This window comes from Homo sapiens, chromosome 5, assembly GCF_000001405.40.
Source record: "Homo sapiens chromosome 5, GRCh38.p14 Primary Assembly".
Lineage (NCBI taxonomy): Eukaryota > Metazoa > Chordata > Mammalia > Primates > Hominidae > Homo > Homo sapiens.
Genome location: NC_000005.10, coordinates 173,052,903 through 173,072,643, shown reverse-complemented (window position 1 = coordinate 173,072,643; position 19,741 = coordinate 173,052,903). Strand labels below are relative to the sequence as shown.

The 19,741-nt window shown below is 44.2% G+C and overlaps 1 protein-coding gene across 8 annotated transcripts in view, besides 2 other annotated features; it reads right to left on the bottom strand.

Moving 5' to 3' along the window:
• CREBRF (CREB3 regulatory factor) overlaps positions 1–16,292 on the bottom strand; it is an 82,933-nt gene extending 66,641 nt beyond the window's left edge. For 5 of the 8 annotated variants that reach the window (XM_005265821.4, NM_153607.3, XM_011534442.2 and 2 more), the window contains exon 1: positions 16,165–16,292. The gene's annotated coding sequence lies outside the window, so the exon portion shown is untranslated. Of the gene's footprint in view, positions 1–12,135; positions 12,232–14,960; positions 15,264–16,164 lie in introns of those variants that run through there. The other 3 variants (XM_047416802.1, XM_006714822.5, XM_047416801.1) reach the window with 2 other exon arrangements.
• Positions 15,312–15,881: a silencer, noted in NCBI's record as "silent region_16635". NCBI's record gives its function as "represses an Ori minimal core promoter by ATAC-STARR-seq in GM12878 lymphoblastoid cells {active_cell/tissue: GM12878}" and the evidence as "EXISTENCE:reporter gene assay evidence [ECO:0000049][PMID:35858748]".
• Positions 16,032–16,541: a silencer, noted in NCBI's record as "silent region_16634". NCBI's record gives its function as "represses an Ori minimal core promoter by ATAC-STARR-seq in GM12878 lymphoblastoid cells {active_cell/tissue: GM12878}" and the evidence as "EXISTENCE:reporter gene assay evidence [ECO:0000049][PMID:35858748]".

Sequence of the window (19,741 nt, the reverse complement as noted above, 5' to 3'; positions counted from 1 at the left end):
TGGTCTTGGAAACATTGTGAGACCCTGTCTCTACAAAAAAAAAAAAAAAAAGTAAAAATCAGCCAGGCAGCTAGGTACAGTGACTCACGCCTGTAATCCCAGCACTTTAGGAGGCCAAGGCAGGCAGATCACGAGGTCAGGAGATGGAGACCATCCTGGCTAACACGGTGAAACCTCGTCTCTACTAATAAACAAAAAAAATTAGCCGGGCGTGGTGGCCAGTGCCTGTAGTCACAGCTACTCAGGAGGCTGAGGCAGGAGAATGGCATGAACCCGGGAGGCAGAGCTTGCAGTGAGCCCAGATTGCGCCACTGCACTCCAGCCTGGGCGACAGAGCAAGACACTGTCTTAAAAAAAAAAAGGGATAAAAAAATTAGGCATGGTGGCACATGCCTATAGTCCTAGCTACTCAGGAGGCTGAGTCAAGAGGATGGCTTGAGCTCAGGAGTTCAAGACTGTAGTGAGCTATGATTGTGCCACTGCACTTCAGCCTGGGCAACAGTGTGAGACTCTGTCTCTTAAAAAAAAAGGAAAAATTTTAAATTTAATAATTATTAAAAATTAATGAAAATTATTAAAATAATTTTTTGAGACAGGGTCTTGCTCTGTCACCTACACTGGAGTGATGTGGAGTGATCTCAGCTCACTGCAACTTCCACCTTCCAGGCTCAAGCAGCCCTCCCACTTCTGCCTCCCAAGTAGCTGGGAATACAGGCACATGCCACCATGCCTGGCTAATTATTGCATTTTTTTTTTAGAGAGGGTTTCAACATGTTACCCAGGCTGGTCTCGAACTCCTGGGCTCAAGCAATCGCCTGCCTTGGCCTCCCAAAGTGCTGGAATTACAGGCATGAGCCACCATGCCCAGCCTAAAATAATTATTAATATAAGATAAAATTATTCTTTCTAACCTACCACACGTCATATTAACACTGTGCTCCAAAGTCATCAGCAACTCCCATACATTTCTTGGATAATGTCCAAACTACTCAGACCTTAGGCCAGACACAAGTGGCTCATACCTGTAATCCCAGCACTTTGGGAGGCTGAGGCAGGAGGATCACTTGAGCCTAGGAGTTTGAGAGAAGCCTGGCCCACAAAGTGAGACCTAGTCTCTTAAAAAAACAAAAACAAGGCCGGGCACGGTGGCTCATGCCTGTAATCCCTGCACTTTGGGAGGCCAAGATGGGTGGATCACCTGAGGTCAGGAGTGTGAGACCAGCCTGGCCAACATGATGAAACCCCATCTCTACTAAAAAGAAAAATTAGCTGGGCGTGGTGGCTCACACCTGTAATCCCAGCTATTCAGAAGGCTGACGAAGGAGAATCGTTTGAACCCAGGAGGCGGAGGTTGCAGTGATGCGAGATCATGGCGCTGCACTCCAGCTTGGGCAACAAAAGCAAAACTCCATCTCAAACAAACAAACAAAAATACTCATACACAATGACACTATCTTTCCAACTCTGTCTTCCACTACTCTTAAGTCTAATATTAGACTGATTTTACCATTTCCCCTAATCCTCAAGATAGTTACAATCCCACTTTACTCCACTAAGAACTTCCAGTAGTGAGACTGACCTTCATGTCTTAGCTCATATTTTTCATCTTCTCTCCTATTCCCTTGCTTCCACTACCAGACTGTGACATCTTTGAGAATGACCATCATATCTCACATCTATTTCACTACAGTGCCAAATGCAATGCCCTTCCGAGCAGTCATCCACACAAGAGATGGCTGAAAATGAATGGGAAAATCCCCTAAGACCACATGTCCTTCTGGATAAGGAATCAAAGGTGTGGTGCTCTTCACAATGAGGACATTACAAAAAAGTCAATTATTCAATATATATTTATTGAGCATCGTTTATGTGCTCCAAAGCATCTTAGTTTGTTAAATTGAGTCTTGAACCACTGTAGTATCATATAGTAAAAATATGAAAAATTGTACTCCTGAATTTTTTTTAATTTCCAAGAAGAGTGATATTTAAATTTTAGTCCATTTTAAAGACCTGATGTAATTATTATCTAGGGAAGAGAGGACAGAGGAAGAAGTAGAATTAAATTTAATTTAAATCAACTGAATTCAGGCACTGGACCGATGCATGTTATATTGTTCTCTCCCTCGTCATTATTTTATTTTAATATTTTAAACTACAAAGCAGGAAGATAAACTCACCATAGTAAAACAAAATATTTTATGCAGGATGTTAAAGATTTTAGTTTTAAAGAATCACTTTGTTTTCTAAGCTGTTCTGCAGAAATCTATAAAATGTTAAAAAGAGAACAGTACAATTAATGGCAGCGGCATAAAAACAGGCAGTGGTGCAAGTGAGAATGCACTGGAGCACACAGCAGGATTCCAGTGACACCACACATTCTTCACACACTGTAACAACTTTGATGCTGTTGTTAGCAAGGATTTGAACTCTTCTTCAAAATTTACTGTAGGGGCAAGGTACAGTGGTTCACTGCCTATAATCCCAGCACTTTGGGAGGCCAAGGTAGACAGACCACTTGAGATCAGGAGTTCAAGACCAGCCTGGCCAACATGGCGAAACCATCTCTACTGAAAAGACAAAAATTAGTTAGGCGTGGTGGCACACACCTGTAGTCCCAGCTGCTCAGGAGGCTGAGGCATGAGAATCGCTTGAACTCGGGATTACAGTAAGCCGAGATCACGCCACTGCATTCCAGCCTAGACTACAAGAGAGATTCCGTCTCAAAAAAAAAAAAAATTGTTTCCTTCCTCCTTTCTCAGATTTGGCACCTTTTCAAAAGCAGCATGAAATATACTAGAGATATATTCAAATTCCTTCCTACTGTGAAGCAGGCTATACCACCAGCATAAACTACATAATAGCCAGTACAGAGGTTATTTGAACATGGTTTTGCAGTCATCTCTTTTAACACTGAGAAAAGCTCGGTGCCACTTTGGCTCTAACATTCCTAAAAAGCTTGCTTTATGAGGAACAAACTCTAGGTAAAAGGTTATGCATTGTGAGTGAATATTTTGAATTTCATGGCCAGGCATGGTGGCTCACGCCTGTAATCCCTGCACTTTGGGAGGCCAAGCTGGGTGGATCACTTGAGGCCAGGAGTTCGAGACCAGCCTGGCCAACATGGTGAAACCCCATCTCTACTAACAATACAAAAATTAGCTGGGTGTGGTGGCGCACATGTAATCCCAGGTATTCAGGAGGCTGAGATGGGGGAATTGCTTGAACCCGGGAGGTAGAGATTGCGGCACTGCACTCCAGCCTGGGTAACTGAGTGAGACTCTGTCTCAAAAAAAAAAGAAATATATTTAAAAAAAAGAATTTCATTCCAGACTCTCATCTGCCTTACTTTATGTATAAATGCAAGAATTCCCCATTATTTTGTGGGGATATTGTGATTCACAATAAAATAACATATAAAGTATCTAGCCCTAGCACAAAACAGACACTCAATAAATGGTGGCTATTTTTATTCTCAGATCTATTCCTTGGTATGTGATACTCCTGGGATGTTGCTGCTATTAAGGTATAAAACCAAACTCAACTCAGAATCCTTTTCTTTTTTTTTGTTTTTTGAGACGGAGTCTCCCTCTGTCGCCCAGGCTGGAGTGCAGTGGCGTGATCTCAGCTCACTGCAACCTCCACCTCCCAGGTTCAAGCAATTCTCCTGCCTCAGCCTCCTGAGTAGCTGGGACTACAGGTGCACGCCACCACGCTCAGCTAATTTTTTTTTTTTTTTCAGTACTGATGGGGTTTCACCATGTTGCCCAGGCTGGTCTCGAACTCCTGAGCTCAGGCAATTCGCCTGCCTCGGCCTCCCAAAGTGCTGGGATTACAGGCGTGAGCCACCGCGCCTGGCCCACTCAAAATCCTAAATTGTCTAAATTCCACATTCCACCAAGCTAGAACCAGGGTGAATATGGGATACTCAGGCAACACACGACACTTAACACCCTTGCCCCCAGGTTTATGAGGGTGTATGTCAATTATGCTGGTTTAATCAGCAAAAGAATCTCTGGACTCACAAAGTCATTCATAAAGCTGCAAACTAGTCATCTCTATACACAATAAAGAAATGGCAGATAAAGGGGAAAAGGCCTCTTTAGAAAGATTATTGCTCTTTATTGTTCAAACAATTACATATAATTTATCACTTTTTCATAGTTCATTATACTGGCTTCACCAAATGGCTCTGGACAATCTGAGCCATATGAAACAGAGTCATATAAAATTTGTATGTATATCTGTAACACCTTGCATAGTTTCTAATAAAGAGACACACAGAGTTTATACCATACTTGTCTCAAAAGTGTTGAGATAAATCAAACAAGTGAGGCAGATTATTCCAACTGCTGAGAAAACATAGCACTGAATATAATCAGCAGCTATCAGAGAAGGAGAAGTACATAGAGTAACCTGAACCTAGTTCCACTCCTCCATCAGGCAGTCAGTATTCTTAATATCCTTCCAATCAGACAAAAGAATAAAATTTACAGTAACTCGTTAGTTTTTAACTTGGGAATTTTGACAACCAGCAAGTTATTATGCTAATAAAACTAAGGTAAAAAGGACCTAACAAGTGCACTCTACTGGGAGGATATACATTTTAAAACAGAAGACAAAATTAACTGAAGATTTTTTTTTTTTGAGGTGGAGTCTCGCTCTGTCGCCCAGGCTGGAGTGCAGTGGAGCGATCTTGGCTCACTGCAAGCTCCACCTTCTGGGTTCACACCATTCTCCTGCCTCAGCCTCCCGAGTAGCTGGGACTACAGGTGCCCGCCACCACACCCGGCTTATTTTTTGTATTTTTAGTAGAGATGGGGTTTCACTGCGTTAGCCAAGATGGTCTCGATCTCCTGACCTCTTCTTGATCCACCCGCCTCAGCCTCCCAAAGTGCTGGGATTACAGGTGTGAGCCACGGCACCCGGCCAATTAACTGAAGATTTAAAGCCAAGGTCTCAAACTGTACTGCAGTGAGAAATCAACGCCCACAAATCAGTTGTGTTCAGTTGCAAATCAGTTGCATTAGTGTTTTTTAAATTGTAACTACCAGTATTTAAATTTCACATGAAATTTCATATAAAATTTGATGTCTGATCTCAAATACCACTCTTTTGGGGGAAAAAATTAGATCTGACATTGGGTATACATTCCCAGAAAGATGATCACTTGAACTAAAAAGAGGTATCCTCTTTAAATTGGCCTGTGCTCTCTAGCTTGCTTGAATCTCCACCCAGTCCCATTTTACAGATTATGAATCTAAGCTGAAAGATGCTCAAAACCACAGAACTAGCAAAATGCCTATTTATGAATGTTGGGTGTTCAGTCTTGACAGCTCTGCAACTCAACTTCCAAATAAAATGTAATGAATGTTAAAAGAGATATCTAAAAGACTTGTACATGAATATTTAAAGCCATTTTATTTATAATAGCCTAAAATCTGGAAGCAATGCAAATGTCTACCCACTGATAAACAGATAAATTGTGGTATGTCCATACAATGACAAAGGCTCAGGCCGAGCACGGTGGCTCAGGCTGAGAAAGGTGGCTCACACCTGTAATCCCAGTACTTTGGGAGGCTAAGGCAGGAGGACTGCTTGCAACCAAAAGTTCCAGACGAGCCTGGGAAACATGACAAAACCCCATCTCTGCAAAAAATCAAAAATTAATCAGGCATGATGATGGCACCTGTAGTCCCAGACACTCGTGAGGCTGAGGAAGGAGGATCACTCTAGCCCAGGAGGTCAAGGATACAATGAGCCATTATCACGCCACTGCACTCAGCCTGGGCAACAGAATGAGACCCTGTCTCAAAAAAAAAAAAAAAAAAAAAAAAAGATTCAATGAATATACGACACAATATGAGTATCTCAAAATCAATGTTAACTAAAAGAAGTCAGACTCAAAAGACAACACATTCTACCAAAAGATTTATATGAAATTTCAGAGAAGACAAAACAATAGTGATACAAAGCAAATCAGTGACTGGAGCCAAGGGCGAGTGCAGGAGAACTGAACAAAAGGGGCATGAGGAACTTTCTGTGGTGATAAAAATGTTAGAGATATAACAGTGGTTAGACGACAGCATGTGTTTGTCAAAACTCAAAATTGGTTGAATTTTCTTTTACATAAATTATAATTCAATAAAGCTGAATTTTAAAAAGAGGTGTTTACAAAATAATAGACAACTACCGAGAATACTACTACCTGGGAAAGTTTGGAAAAGCTTTAGGAAAAAGGTGAATTGGACTTTGTTATCAAACAATTTGTAGGTGCATAAGAAATAGAAAACAGGGCACATAGGCAGTCACATTCTACACTGTGGCCTTTGAAGAAGTAGCATCTTTGAATACAAAGGAAAATGTTTCATAAAAAGAAATTCACAGAAATGGATAATTAGTCTTTGAACAGGTATCAAAAGCTAGTTGATCTTACAAGATTTCCCAAGAGGGAATCAGCTTATTTTGCTATTTACATGTAAAATAAGCAGATAGTGCGCAAGAATTTATTTTGTTTTGCTTTTAAATAAAAGATAATGAGAGGTGGCACACGCCTGCAGCCTGAGCTACTCAGGAGGCTGAGATGGGATTGTTTGACACCGGGAGTTTGAGGCCAGCTTGGGCAACACAGCAAAACCCCATCTCAAAAAAAATAAAAAATAAAATAAAGCAAATAAAAAGGAAAGGTAGGGGCAAAGAGAAACCCAAAGGGGCCAGGTGCGGTTGGTCACGCCTGTAATCGCACATTTTGGGACGCCAAGGTGGGTGGGTGGCTTGAGCCCTGGAGTTTAAGACCAGCCTGGGCAATGTGGGGAAACCCTGTCTCTACAAAAAAAATTAGCTGGGCATGGTGGCACACACCTGTAGTCTCAGCTACTCGTGAGGCTGAGGTGGGAGGATCACTTGAGCCCCAGGTCAAGGCTGCAGTGAACCATGACTGTGCCACTGCACCATCCTGTCTTTAAAAAAAAAAAAAAAGAAGAAGAAGAAAAAGGAAAAGAAAAGGAAAGAAATATAACCCAAAGGGAATAAAGAGAGAGAGGGAGGGAGGGTGGGAGGTGAAATAAACGCAAGAGACAAATAGAGTCAGAATGAAAGGTACTTTAGTACCAACACATTAGAAAAGGTGGGACTAAAAGAAAAATGGAACACTAGGGGAAAAAACCAATCAACCAAAGTCAGAGGTACAGGGAGCTACAGGGAAAAGAGACTGGAGACCTGACAGCATAGAACAGACTGAAGAGAATTAGAGGACAAAGTGAAAGCAAAAAAAGCTATTTCCTCCTAAATCTTACACATCAGTTTCCTCCTCTTCCATTCTCCCTCCCACCTCTGCCTTAGCTCAAACCATCTCATACCCAACCCCACACTACACATCTTTTATACTTCAGCTGTACTAGAATGCCTCCTTCACTAATCTTCAAAACTAAGTTCAAACACCACTTTTTCAATGAATATTCAACTTTCCCCAGGCAGAGTTAGCAGTCCTTCTTCCATATTTCAGAACATTTTGTTCTGAAAAACCATCGTAACATTGGGCTGCAATGTGTGTCTCCTCTCCTAGTCTATGGGCAACTCTAGTAGAGGATTCAAAGGTAAAGATGAAAACCTTACTAAAAAGCAGTTCAAAAACTGTACAGCTAGGTACAGTGGCTCACACCTGTAACCCCAACACTTTGGGAGGCTGAGGCAGGAGGGTCACTTGAGTTCAGGAGTTCAAGACCAGCCTGGGAAACATAGTAAAACTCTCTCTCTACAAATAATTTTTTAAATTAGCCAGGTGGGCCAGGCGCAGTGGCTCACACCTGTAATCCCAGCACTTTGGGAGGCCAAGGCAGGCAGATCACCTGGGGTGGGGAGTTCAAGACCAGCCTGACCAACATGGAGAAACCTCGACTCTACTAAAAATACAAAATTAGCTGGGCATGGTGGCACATCCCTGTAATCCCAGCTACTTGGAAGGCTGAGGCAGGAGAATCGCTTGAACCCGGGAGGTGGAGGTTGCAGTAAGCCGAGATTGTGCCATTGCACTCCGCCTGGGCGACAGAGCGAGACTCTGTCTCAAAAAAAAAAAAAAAAAAAAAAAATTAACCAGGTGTGGTGGTGCGCACCTGTAGTCCCAGATAGTCAGGAGGCTCAGGAGGCTGAGGCAGGAGGACTGCTTGAGCCTGGAAAGTCAAGGCTGCAGTGAGCCGTGATCGTGCCCCTGCACTTCAGCCTGGGTGACAGAGCAAGACCTGTCTCAAACAACAACAACAAAAACTGCATGAGTCCACCTCATTTATACCATACCACTAGGATGCTAGAAGCCTTGCTGTTTTAAGGAATTCTACAATGAATCTTTTCAAAAGTACACCCACCCTACCCCTAATTCCTCCCCATATCAACGTTTTATTTTTGTAATGCTTTAAATTTCTCAGTAAATGACTAACCTATAATAGAAAAGGCAGCAATTCCATCAGCAGCCAAAAAAGAAACTGCTTTTATAAAAGGAGCACCTCAAACCCTCAGGACAAAATATTATACTGAAGAAAACATATGTACAACAAGAATCTAAAAAAAAACTGGAGGACAAAAAAAACAGCAAGCTTTACTATCACACTAGTCTTTAAGAAAAAAAACTTTAGGCCAGTGCATTGGCTCACGCCTGTAATCCCAGCACTTTGGGAGGCCAAGGCAGGCAGATCGCTTGAGGTCAGGAGTTCAAGACCAGCCTGGCCAACATGGTGAAACTCTGTCTCTACTAAAAATATAAAAATTAGCCGGGCATGGTGGCAGGTGCCTGTAGTCCCAGCTACTTGGGAGGCTGAGGCAGGAGAATTGCTTGAACCCAGGATGCGAAGGTCGCAGGGGCAGAGATTACACCACTGCACTCCAGCCTGGGTGACAGAGCAAGACTCGCCTCAAAAAAAAAAAGTCAAAAAGAACAAAAATTCTTTTTAATCAAGAAATTAAAAATTAAGAAAAAGAAATCAGCAGGCCAGGTGTGGTGGCTCACGCCTGTAATCCCAGCACTTTGAGAGGCCAAGGCAGGTGGATCACCTGAGGTCAGGAGTTCAAGACCAGCCTGGCCAACATGGCGAAACCCCACCTCTACTAAAAATACAAAAAATTAGCTGAGTGTGGTGACGTGCTCCTGTAATACCAGCTACTCAGGAGGCTGAGACAGGAAAATCGCTTGAACCCAGGAGGCAGAGGTTGCAGTGAGCCGAGATGGCGCCACTGCACTCCAGCGTGGGCAACAGCGTGAGACTCTGTCTCAAAAAAAATAGAGAAGAAGAAATCAGGAAATTTGTGAGGCTTTCATAGGAAATTCTCAAAATCAGTAATACCCAAAAGATATAAAAGTGGTTTTGGTGTTGAAAGGACAGAGTGTAGGATGATTTATGTTGCCAAGAGTTAAGTACGGAAAGCAGTAGTTTAGAAAGCTGTTTAGGAAGGAGAGTTACAATATAGATTTTGGAGGAAAGGTCATAAATTGGTGAAATGCATATAAGGCTTGGCTGGTGATACTACTGCCGCACCCTGCGTCAAACTCGATCCAAATCCTAGCCTACCCCACAGAGGTGAGTCAGACTTATTAGCAAGAATGATTTTACAGGCTGGGCGCGGTGGCTCACACCTGTAATCCCAGCACTTTGGGAGGCCGAGGCGGGCGGATCACGAGGTCAGGAGATCGAGACCATCCCGGCTAAAACGGTGAAACCCCGTCTCTACTAAAAATACAAAAAATTAGCCGGGCGTAGTGGCGGGCGCCTGTAGTCCCAGCTACTTGGGAGGCTGAGGCAGGAGAATGGCGTGAACCCGGGAGGCAGAGCTTGCAGTGAGGCGAGATCCCACCACTGCACTCCAGCCTGGGCGACAGAGCAAGACTCCGTCTCAAAAAAAAAAAAAAAAAAGAATGATTTTACAGTGCCCTCCTTAAAAAAAGACCCTACTATGTAGATGAAAAATTATCCCAAACCTGTATGAAATAAGAGATTCCATCCACATTTGCCAAATAGGACAAATCCAAAGAACAAAGCACAACTTTTTTTTTTTAATACCTGCAAGGAATATTCAACAAGTCTAACTAATGGAGTTCATCTGAAAACAAATTAACAAAGGAACTAAAGAGATTTTTAAACATCATCAAAATAGCTTCTCTAAAAACTTTCTTAAAAGAACGGATCAATTTTAGAATGAAGGCTTTTTGTTTGAACAGACGGTGATTAATTCCTCCTTTCTAACTAAGAAAAGCCCAACATCTCTAATAGTAGACTTTATTACTTTCCAGATAAGCAGTTCTCAGCAATGCATGCATTCATTTAAACAGTTCAAGAGCACTAAAAGGTATCAGGCACAGTGTGAGGCAGTGAATATATAGAAATAAAACACAGACTCTGACCTCAAGGAGCTCATAGTTTAATGGGAAGACAAATAAGCCAGGAGAAAATCGAATCCAGATTTGAGAAGTGGTTTCAAGCAGACCGAAATATTAGCATATTCAAAGTACAAGACTTTAAGAATACAGTAACTAAAAATTTCCCAGTATCCCCTTGTGAGATGGAAAACATCATTAATCCCTACCACTACAAATTAATAAACTGAGATTATCTGTAGTCATCCAGGCAGACCCTAGGTTAGCTAGATCTAGAAACAAGATTGCAGGCCACATGTTTCTCAGTTCATAAAGGTCAATATATTCTCTTTTCTAAACTTTTACGCTTCCACTTGAAATCCAGTTCAAGTCAACAAAAATGGTGAAATATTACATTAAAAATAAAGCAAAAGTTATCAAAAAAATTTAGTATTTCCCAGTTATATTTTTAGATTACGGCATCTCTGCTTCACTAGGCACTTAGCACGACTTGACATTTTCCCTGGAAAAAGAGAGGAGGTAACCTGTATCTTTTTGGGCCTGGAAAAAGCATCCTACTCTCTTTAATTCTTCAAGCATCTCAGGCAATGAGCACTCAATGTCTTAACTTCTAAATTAACTGCATATTTGAATATAAGAACTACATGTGTTGACTATTCACGTGACTATCATCTCTTGAAACAGCTATACAGCTTTGTTAAGGATTATATGCTAAATGTGCTTTGAAACTTCAAGAGGACCATATCCTGAATATATCTTAGGGCCAAAGTTTTTTCAATCAGACTGCATCTCTAAAATCAACAGGATTTATACCAATATTTGCTTTAAACAGCTTTTCAAGAAAACATTTATATGTAAACGAAGGAAAAATACAAAATACAATGTTGCCATATGCTCTTGTACTAAAAATTCTCTTCAAGGCAGGAGACTGTACAATCTGCAAATGCTCAAATGTACCTAAAGTGTCTATTTGTATATTCTGAAATACCTTAACATCTAAGTACTTAAAACTCAGTGACTGGGCCAGATGTGGTGGTTCACGCCTGTAATCCCAGCACGTTGGGAGGCTGAGGCGGGCAGATCAGGAGGTCAGGAGATTGAGACCAGCCTGGCCAACACAGTGAAACCCCGTCTCTACTAAAAATACAAAACTTGGCTGGGCACGGTGGCAGGCGCCTGTAATCCCAGCTACTCAGAAGGCTGAGGCAGGAGAATCGCTTAAACCCGGGAGGCGGAGGTTGCAGTGAGCCGAGATCGTGCCACTGCACTCCAGCAGGGGGGACAGAACTAGACTCTGTCTCAAAAAACGAACAAACAAAAAACCTCAATGACTGATGTCTTACAACAGGGGCTGACAAACTATAGCCGTGGAAGCACAAATAGAGGCACAGCCTGACCTTGTAAATAAAGTTTTATTGGAATAGAGCCCAAAAATATGTAGAACATATTTTCTACAGCTGTTTCCATGCTACAGATTCAAAGTTGAGTAGTTGTGGCAGAGACTGGAAGGCTGAAAAAGCCTAAATATTAACTATTTGATCCTGTTCCAAAAAAAAAAAAAAAGTCTGTCAACCCTTGTCTTAAAATAATCAGAACCAATTATCTGACAAATTTATGTCTCGTCTAAGAGTTTACCTATCCCGAAATGAGCTACTGAATATGGTGAAAGTGTCAGTGAATTGTTCCTCAAAAAAATCCAAGTTCAACCCTACTTGGAAACAAGCGACTGCTAATTCATTTCAAAATCACATAACTAGAGGGGGCACGGTGGCTCATACCTGTAATCCCAGCTCTTTGGGAGGCCAATGCGGGCGGATCATTTAAGATTAGGAGTTCAAGACCAGCCTGGCCAACTTGGTGAAACCTTGTCTCTACTGAAAATACAAAAATTAGCTGAGCATAGCGGTGCACGCCTGTAATCCTAGCTACTCGGGAGGCTGGGGCAGGATAATCGCTTGAACCCAGGAAACGGAGGTTGCAGTGCGCCAGGATCACGCCACCGGACTCCAACCTGGGCAACGCAGTTAGACTCCGTCTCAAAAAAAAAAAAAAACATATATATATATATGTATTTTTTAAATAAATATATAGATGCCGATCTTGACTGAAAATTAAGCTTTAAAAGCAAACAGTGATTTCAGTTCTCTTTATCTTTTAAAAACTGAGTTATATTAACAGAATCAACACACAAACTTACTGTACTTCACTGTCACTTGTATTTAACCACCACCAGGAACCATGCTAGTTATTCCTTTACTTCTTACACTAGTATCCCAGAACCCACACACATCCACCCTGTAAACTAAGTAGACACCCTGTAAACTAAGTAGAACATTGTCTATATAAAAGCTTGCTTTCACCTGCCATGACAGAGAATGATGGTAAATGGAGCATCCAGACTCTCTTCGGGAGCTATTTAGCCTCTTCTATGCTTATGAATATAAAAAACCCAAAGCTGATATACCAGTCATATGAAGGAATTATACCCAAATAAGTTCTATTGCATCTATTTGCCATTCTTAGAATAAGAGAGCATTATATAAGCAATGCTGATTGACTTTATCAACCGATGCAACAGTGAAAACTGCCTGGAATATTCTAAGTATCAATGAAAAGTGTTTATTTTTATTTTCACTATACTTCTCTGTTAAACTAATTAGGGCATTGTAAGGGCTAGGGTTCCAAAAGCAACACAATGCCACCTGATAAAATAAGAATTGATAGGCCAGGCGCGGTGGCTCACGCCTGTAATCCCAGCACTTTGGGAGGCCAAGGCAGGCAGATCACCTTAGGTCAGGAGTTCAAGACCAGTCTGGCCAACATGGTGAAACCCCGTCTCTACTAAAAATACAAAATTAGCCGGGCGTGGTGGTGGGCGCCTGTAATCCCAGCTACTCAGGAGGCTCAGGCAGGAGAATTGCTTGAACCCGGGAGGCGGAGATTGCAGTGAGCCGAGATCTTCCCACTGCACTCCAGCCTGGGCGACAAGGGCGAAACTCCGTCTCAAAAAAAAAAAAAAAAGAAAAAAAAGAAAAAGAAGAACTGATAAATAAGCTAATACCCTTATTTACTGCAAAAGTTATACGTAAGAATTCAAGTTTATCAAATAATCAGGGATTACGTTTTTATGTATCATTATTAACAGAACTGAGTCAGTCATGCCAAAGTACTACAAAAATTGATGAATCAGGCCGGGCGCAGTAGCTCACACCTGTAATCCCAGAACTTTGGAAGCTGAGGTGGGTGGATCACCTAAAGCCAGAAGTTCGAGACCAGCCTGACCAGCACGTGGTGAAACCCCGTCTCTATTAAAAACACAAAAAATTAGCCAGGCATGGTGGCACGCGCCTGTAGTCGCAGCTACTCGGGAGGCTGAGGCAGGAGAATTGCTAGAACCCGGCAGGCGGAGGTTGCAGTGAGCCGAGATCGTGCCATTGCACTCCAGCCTGGGCGACAGACGGAGACTCCGTCTTAAAAAAAAAAAAAAAAAAAAAAAAAAAGAGGCTGGGCGCGGTGGCTCACGCCTGTAATCCCAGCACTTTGGGAGGCCGAGGGGGGCGGATCACGAAGTCAGGAGATCGAGACCGTCCTGGCTAACATGGTGAAACCCCGTCTCTACTAAAAATACAAAAAAAATTAGCCGGGCGTGATGGCGGGCGCCTGTAGTCCCAGCTACTCCGGAGGCTGAGGCAGGAGAATGGCGTGAACCCGGGAGGCGGAGCTTGCAGTGAGTCGAGATCTGGCCACTGCTCTCCAGCCTGGGCGACAGAGCGAGACTCCGTCTCAAATTAAAAAAAAAAAAAAAATTGATGAATCAGTTACCAATTATTCTTTTTCTCCAACTAATAAAATAGAAGATAATGCAAATTCTTAATACAGCTAACTCTGATTAGCCCCTGCATGATCTATCTAAGGCATGTTCTTACGCCTAAGTACTTAACCAAAGATGCCATCAAGAGCTTGGTACCCTTGACAATACCAACGTAGCCACAGGTTGTAATCCGATGTAAACACAAACCTAAATTAAGCATTTAACAAGGCCAAAAGGATGCCAAAATAACCATAATACAATTAGATTAAAATAAGTTATTTTCGAATTATTCATACCATTTTTCCCTGCCTCTGGTGTATATCCTATTTTGGATTAAAAGATTAAAGATATTTAAAAGTACAATCAAGTGACAACTAGTTTACGACAGATCACAAGATTTACACCCAAGTCTTGTTTTCTGCTTTAAAAAAAAAAAAAGAAATTCCAGGCCTTGATCCTATTTTTCACCTGCAGGGTATTCGCAAGAAAAGTCCCAAAGAACCTTCGAAACTAAATAACTTCCTGTGGGCTCAGTTTTCTCAAGAAGCTGATTAATGTGGACTACCAACTTATGTTAGCAAGAGGGGCAAATTACTACTAAGACTAGGACAAGCACGGGGCCTAATCTTTAAAAGGCATCCTGATGAGAAAAAAAAAAAAAAAGAAACCCCGCCCAGCCCTCAACTTGCTCGGCTTTTCTAGTCCCGTTTTCTTTTACAAAACTTCCCCTTCACTGCCTGTCTCTTATCTGAGGCCTGGTACAGAAATTCAGACCGCTATTTATCCAAGTACCTCCTTAAGGTAGTCTTAAGGCTCAAGCCAGCTCAGAAACGGCAGAAAGACTTGCTTTCTTGGGTTAAAGGAGGGCGATTACAGGGTTTGGCGGCCAGGTCTGTCAGGAAGCATAGGGCCGAGAAAGAGGGAGAATCCAGAGACTGAGCTCCATCTAGTCCCAGGAACCACCCCCAGGGGAGGCTTGACTGCCCTCGGTACTTCCCTGCCTCCTCAGCTCGTGTGAGGAGAAAGGCGGGTCGAGGTCAGGCTCCCCTGAGCTACTTCCTGGTCCGATCGGACTCGCCTTCGGACACCCGAAACACCCCCGGCCCGGCTCCCTCGCCCTTTGCCCTGTCTCCTCCCCTCTCAGTGACCCACCACCACTGGTCCCCTCCCATCTAACATGGCTGCCCCGCCCGGCCCACCTCCGGCACAGCCTAACCAATTAGTGGCCCCCCCGCGGCACCGCCTCCCCCACGCCCATTGGTGCAGAAGTCTCCATCCGCCCGCTCCATTGGACGCCAGAGCCTGCCACTCAGCTCTGAGGGCTCCGCCCCTCAGCCGCTTCAAGCTGCTTTGAGAAGACATATAAACAAATCCCGGGAGGGAGGCCCCTCGCCCGTCGCCTCTGAGGCGGGGACAGAAGGGGGAGCGGCTACCCCCGAGACGCCCTGCTCGGACCCCCCTAGCCCCAGCCCGCGCCTCTTCGTCTCCTGCCAGCCTGGCTCCAACCTCCGCGGCCCCGGCCCTTCCTCACACGCCCCTCTCTCCCCTCCTCCCCCGCCAGTCTCGCCTCCCCTCCCCTCCCGGGCCCCTCCCACCCGCTCTCTTCTCTGACAGGCCGACTGCCGGCAGCAGCGGCCCCGGGCTCGGAGGCAGCGGGGAAGGGCCGGGCGGCCCGGCAGGACGGACGCCCGGCGCTGCCCATCCCCGGCCTAGCCTACTGCCCGCCCGCGAGTCCCATCTACCGCCGCCCCGCGCTTTTATGTAACCGTCCCGGGCCGGGGGTGGGGGAGGGGAGCGGAGCCCCCGTGACCTGCAGGCGGTGGCCCAAGGCCCGCGCGCCCTAGCACTCGGCCGTGGTCCCGGCCCCCGCCCCGCGCCGGCCCGGCCCAGAGCCCCAGCGCTGCTGCCTCCTAGGCAAGCGGCCCTCCGCCCCCCGTTCCGCTCTTCCCCCAGCCCAGGCCCCTGGGGGTTCCGAGCAGCGGGTGGCGGCGCTCACCTGTGGGTGTAGGGGCGGCTCAGGGACTGGGTCCGGTTCCGCTGCAGGGGCCACGGCCCCTCTCCATGCTGCCTCGGGTTTGTTTTGTTTATGTCCTTCCTGACGGGTTCCCGGAAATCGCGTGACTCGCCCCCCTCACGTGGGCCGCGGCGAGGAGGAGGAGGGAGGCGGGGGCCCGCCGGCCTCGGGCCAATCGCGAGGCGTTCCACAGCCCGGCCAATCAGGGGCTGAGTCCGGCCGGGCACCCCTGTCACGTGTCGCCGGAGGGGCGGGTTGCCGGGAAAAACCAGGAAGAGAGGGCGGAGCGGGGGCTCGGTGCCGGCCTCTGCAGTGTGGGCGTGGGCCGTCTGCGATACCCGGCAGCACGCCCAGGATGGGAGAGGATGTTCCTTTTTACAAAGGCTTCAAATCTAGCGTTTTATCAGATCTCAGAACTGCGCTGTGAGGCATGAGGTGTCCTTTTGCCCATTTTGTAGTTTAAGTTCACTGAAACTTGAAGTGGCTAACTTGATTAGTAGGGGGATTGTATCGATGTCATGGGTGATGGACCTTCTCCCCATCTGAACGTCTTAATTAAGTGAGAGACAAACCTTGCCTTTTGTCGTTCGTTCATTCATTCACCGACTCAATATTTATTTAGCACGGATTCCGAGGCACAGGGATCAATCAGACTGCGTGCACCTTTGAAGAGAGAGACCCGTATACGACTGTACAACCAGAATGCCACTACTACAGAAGCGCCTAGACAAACAAACCTCCGTGACACATGGTCGTTTTCTTGCACTTACTGATCCTCTTAATAACAACAGCGTCCCTTTATTGAACGAGTGCTATATGGTGGGCTTATCATCTCAATTAGTTTTCCCTGCAAGCACATGCAGTAGTAATATATCCATTTTTCAGACAGGAAAATTAAGACTGAGAGGAGTTAAGTTACTTGCCCGAGGTCAGGCAGCTAGTAAGTGAGCTAGCTAGGGCTGGAGCCCTTGTCTTTTATCACAGCCTATTCTTCCAGATGCTTTTTATACATCTTAAAGGCACGGAATTGATCTGAACACACAACAGAAATTTGATTTTAGTAAGCACAGGGAAAGGAAGACGGGAATAAAGACACCTGCCCAGGTTTCTGTTAGGAGGAATCGCCTTTGAAAATGTGACTCCCTTTTGCACAGATTTAGAGAAGTAGTATAGTGTCATTGTCAAAACCATGGACTTTGGAATCAAAAAGACCCACAGATCATAATCATCAGGAGAGCAGGGACTGGGCAGTGTTTATCCTGTAACTTCCATGCCCGGCACATAGACAGTCATTACATACTGGTTGAATGAATAGTCTGGATTTGAATCCTTGTTTCACCACGTGTAAAGCAACACAAATTAACCTCTGTGAAGCTCAATTTCCTCCTCTGTTAGTACCTTCTGGGGTTGATGTGAGAACTAAGTGAAATAATTCATATAAAGCACTTATCATAGTGCCTGGCATATAGTAAGCACTCAATCAATAGTTGAATTATTAAATTGTTTAAGGGCATCATTTGGAAGATGTACTGTAGACTAAATAGCAAGTACAGATAACTTTAGACTTTAGCAGGTTAACAGCCACTAAAATAATACTTCTGTACACAAAATGAATAGATAACTATATGTAGATACCTAACAGGAAACTAAAAGCATAAATCTCTCCTCTGTAGCCGCCACAATACCAACCACATAGTAGGGCCTCCATGCCCAATGAAGGAATGAGTATTTCCCCTACTGCAAAGTGAGTACCAGGATTATAATTTTTTTAAATCTAACACATACCACATTCTAATTTTCCACATCAGCTGGAATTTAAAATTGAAAAAGAGGAAAACTAGCTGGGAAGTTTGAGGCAGGTTACCCCGACTCGTTCACATGAGATTCATGCATCAAATCTCCCCGGCATACATGACAGACCATCCTCTCTTGTAACACTATATTTGAAAAAGCTCCAGCAGATGGTTAGACCTTCCATTGTTACACTGCTATCTGGACACGGGCACGTTCATCTCCTCTACTGGGCAGTTCCTTGGGGTCAGGGGGCAGCCAGGTTTATCTCCTAGCGTGAGGCTCCGCCCACTGAAGGTGTTTACTAGTGAGTTACATTGGATTCCCACATTTCCCTCTTCCGTCGTCTTGGAAAGGATGAGGTTTTGGCTAAAGGAGACCTTTCCATCAAGGTTTGTTAATGACTATATCCTGCTCCAAAATGAATGAAATCACTGGCTCTGAATTGATTTGTGTTTCTCTGGGTTTTATCCTGCCAGATTCTGTCACAGTCAAAGTTGGCAGGAAGTTGGAACTCTGTAACATCATTGGCTTCTTGTTCTAGCCACAAAGTAGTAACCAACTGGCATCGCCACTTCCAAAGTGTTTAACCTGGTTCCTGCGGAATAATTTACATTCTGGAATAGCATGAGTCAGCAAAACACGCTTTACACAAATATGATACAATGGGGGAAACAAACCAAGAACTCCTTTTAATTCTTTTTTTTTTTTTTTTTTTTTTTTTTTGAGACAGAGTCTCGCTCTTTCGCCCAGGCTGGACTGCAGTGGCGCTATCTCGGCTCACTGCACGCTCTGCCTCTCGGGTTCACTCTATTCTCCTGCCTCAGCCTCCTGAGTAGCTGGGACCACAGGTGCCCGCCAACACGCCCAGCTAATTTTTTGTGTTTTTAATAGAGACGGGGTTTCACCGTGTTAGCCAGGATGGTCTCCATCTCCTAACCTCGTGATCCGCCTGCCTCGGCCTCCCAAAGTGCTGGGATTACGGGCGTGAGCCACTGCGCCCGGCCAAATTCTTAAAATAATTTTTTTATTTTCGATTACCTAACATATATAGATGGTACAAAATTCAAAAGGCACAAGAAAGTATTCAGTGAATATCAAGTCTCTGTCCTGTTGCTGTTTCTTGGCTACTCATTTTCCCTTCCAGAGGCAACCACAGTTACCCACATTCTGTGTCTTCTTCCAGAGATATCCTTTGTATGTGCAGGCATTTTACCTACTTTAAACCTTCATGTGTTTGGAACACTGTTCTTGGAGCCAAGACCCCTATTTGAGCTTTACCACTAACTATAAGATCCAAGGTGACCTCTCTGAGTTCCAGTTTCTTCACCACAAGGGATCAAAAGTAAAACTGGGTATTCTCTATGATCTTTTTAACTTCAACACTGAGCGCACATCCTGAAAGAATTAAAATGGTTGGCACAGGTCCTAACTTTCCATATGACCTGTAGGTCATAACTTTGCGCTGTGTGTAAATCTTCATTACAGTAGATTGAGCTCTGCCTGCTGCTCACATAGACATCTTTTAAGAGAGTGTTATCATTTCAAGTCTAAATGTTTTCTTTCCGGACCCCTCTAGGCCTGTGTGATTTGTTAAATAAGACTTCACAGCTTTAGAAGTGAGATTAATTAACTCAAAGCTGGAAGATCTCCAGGAAAAGCTGTGTCCTTCTGACACTAAAAACTGATTTTCTTTCTGAGAAGACTGGAGTGAATTGAAAAGAGATACTGATTGATGGTTAGCAATTGGCCTCTATCCTTCATTCAT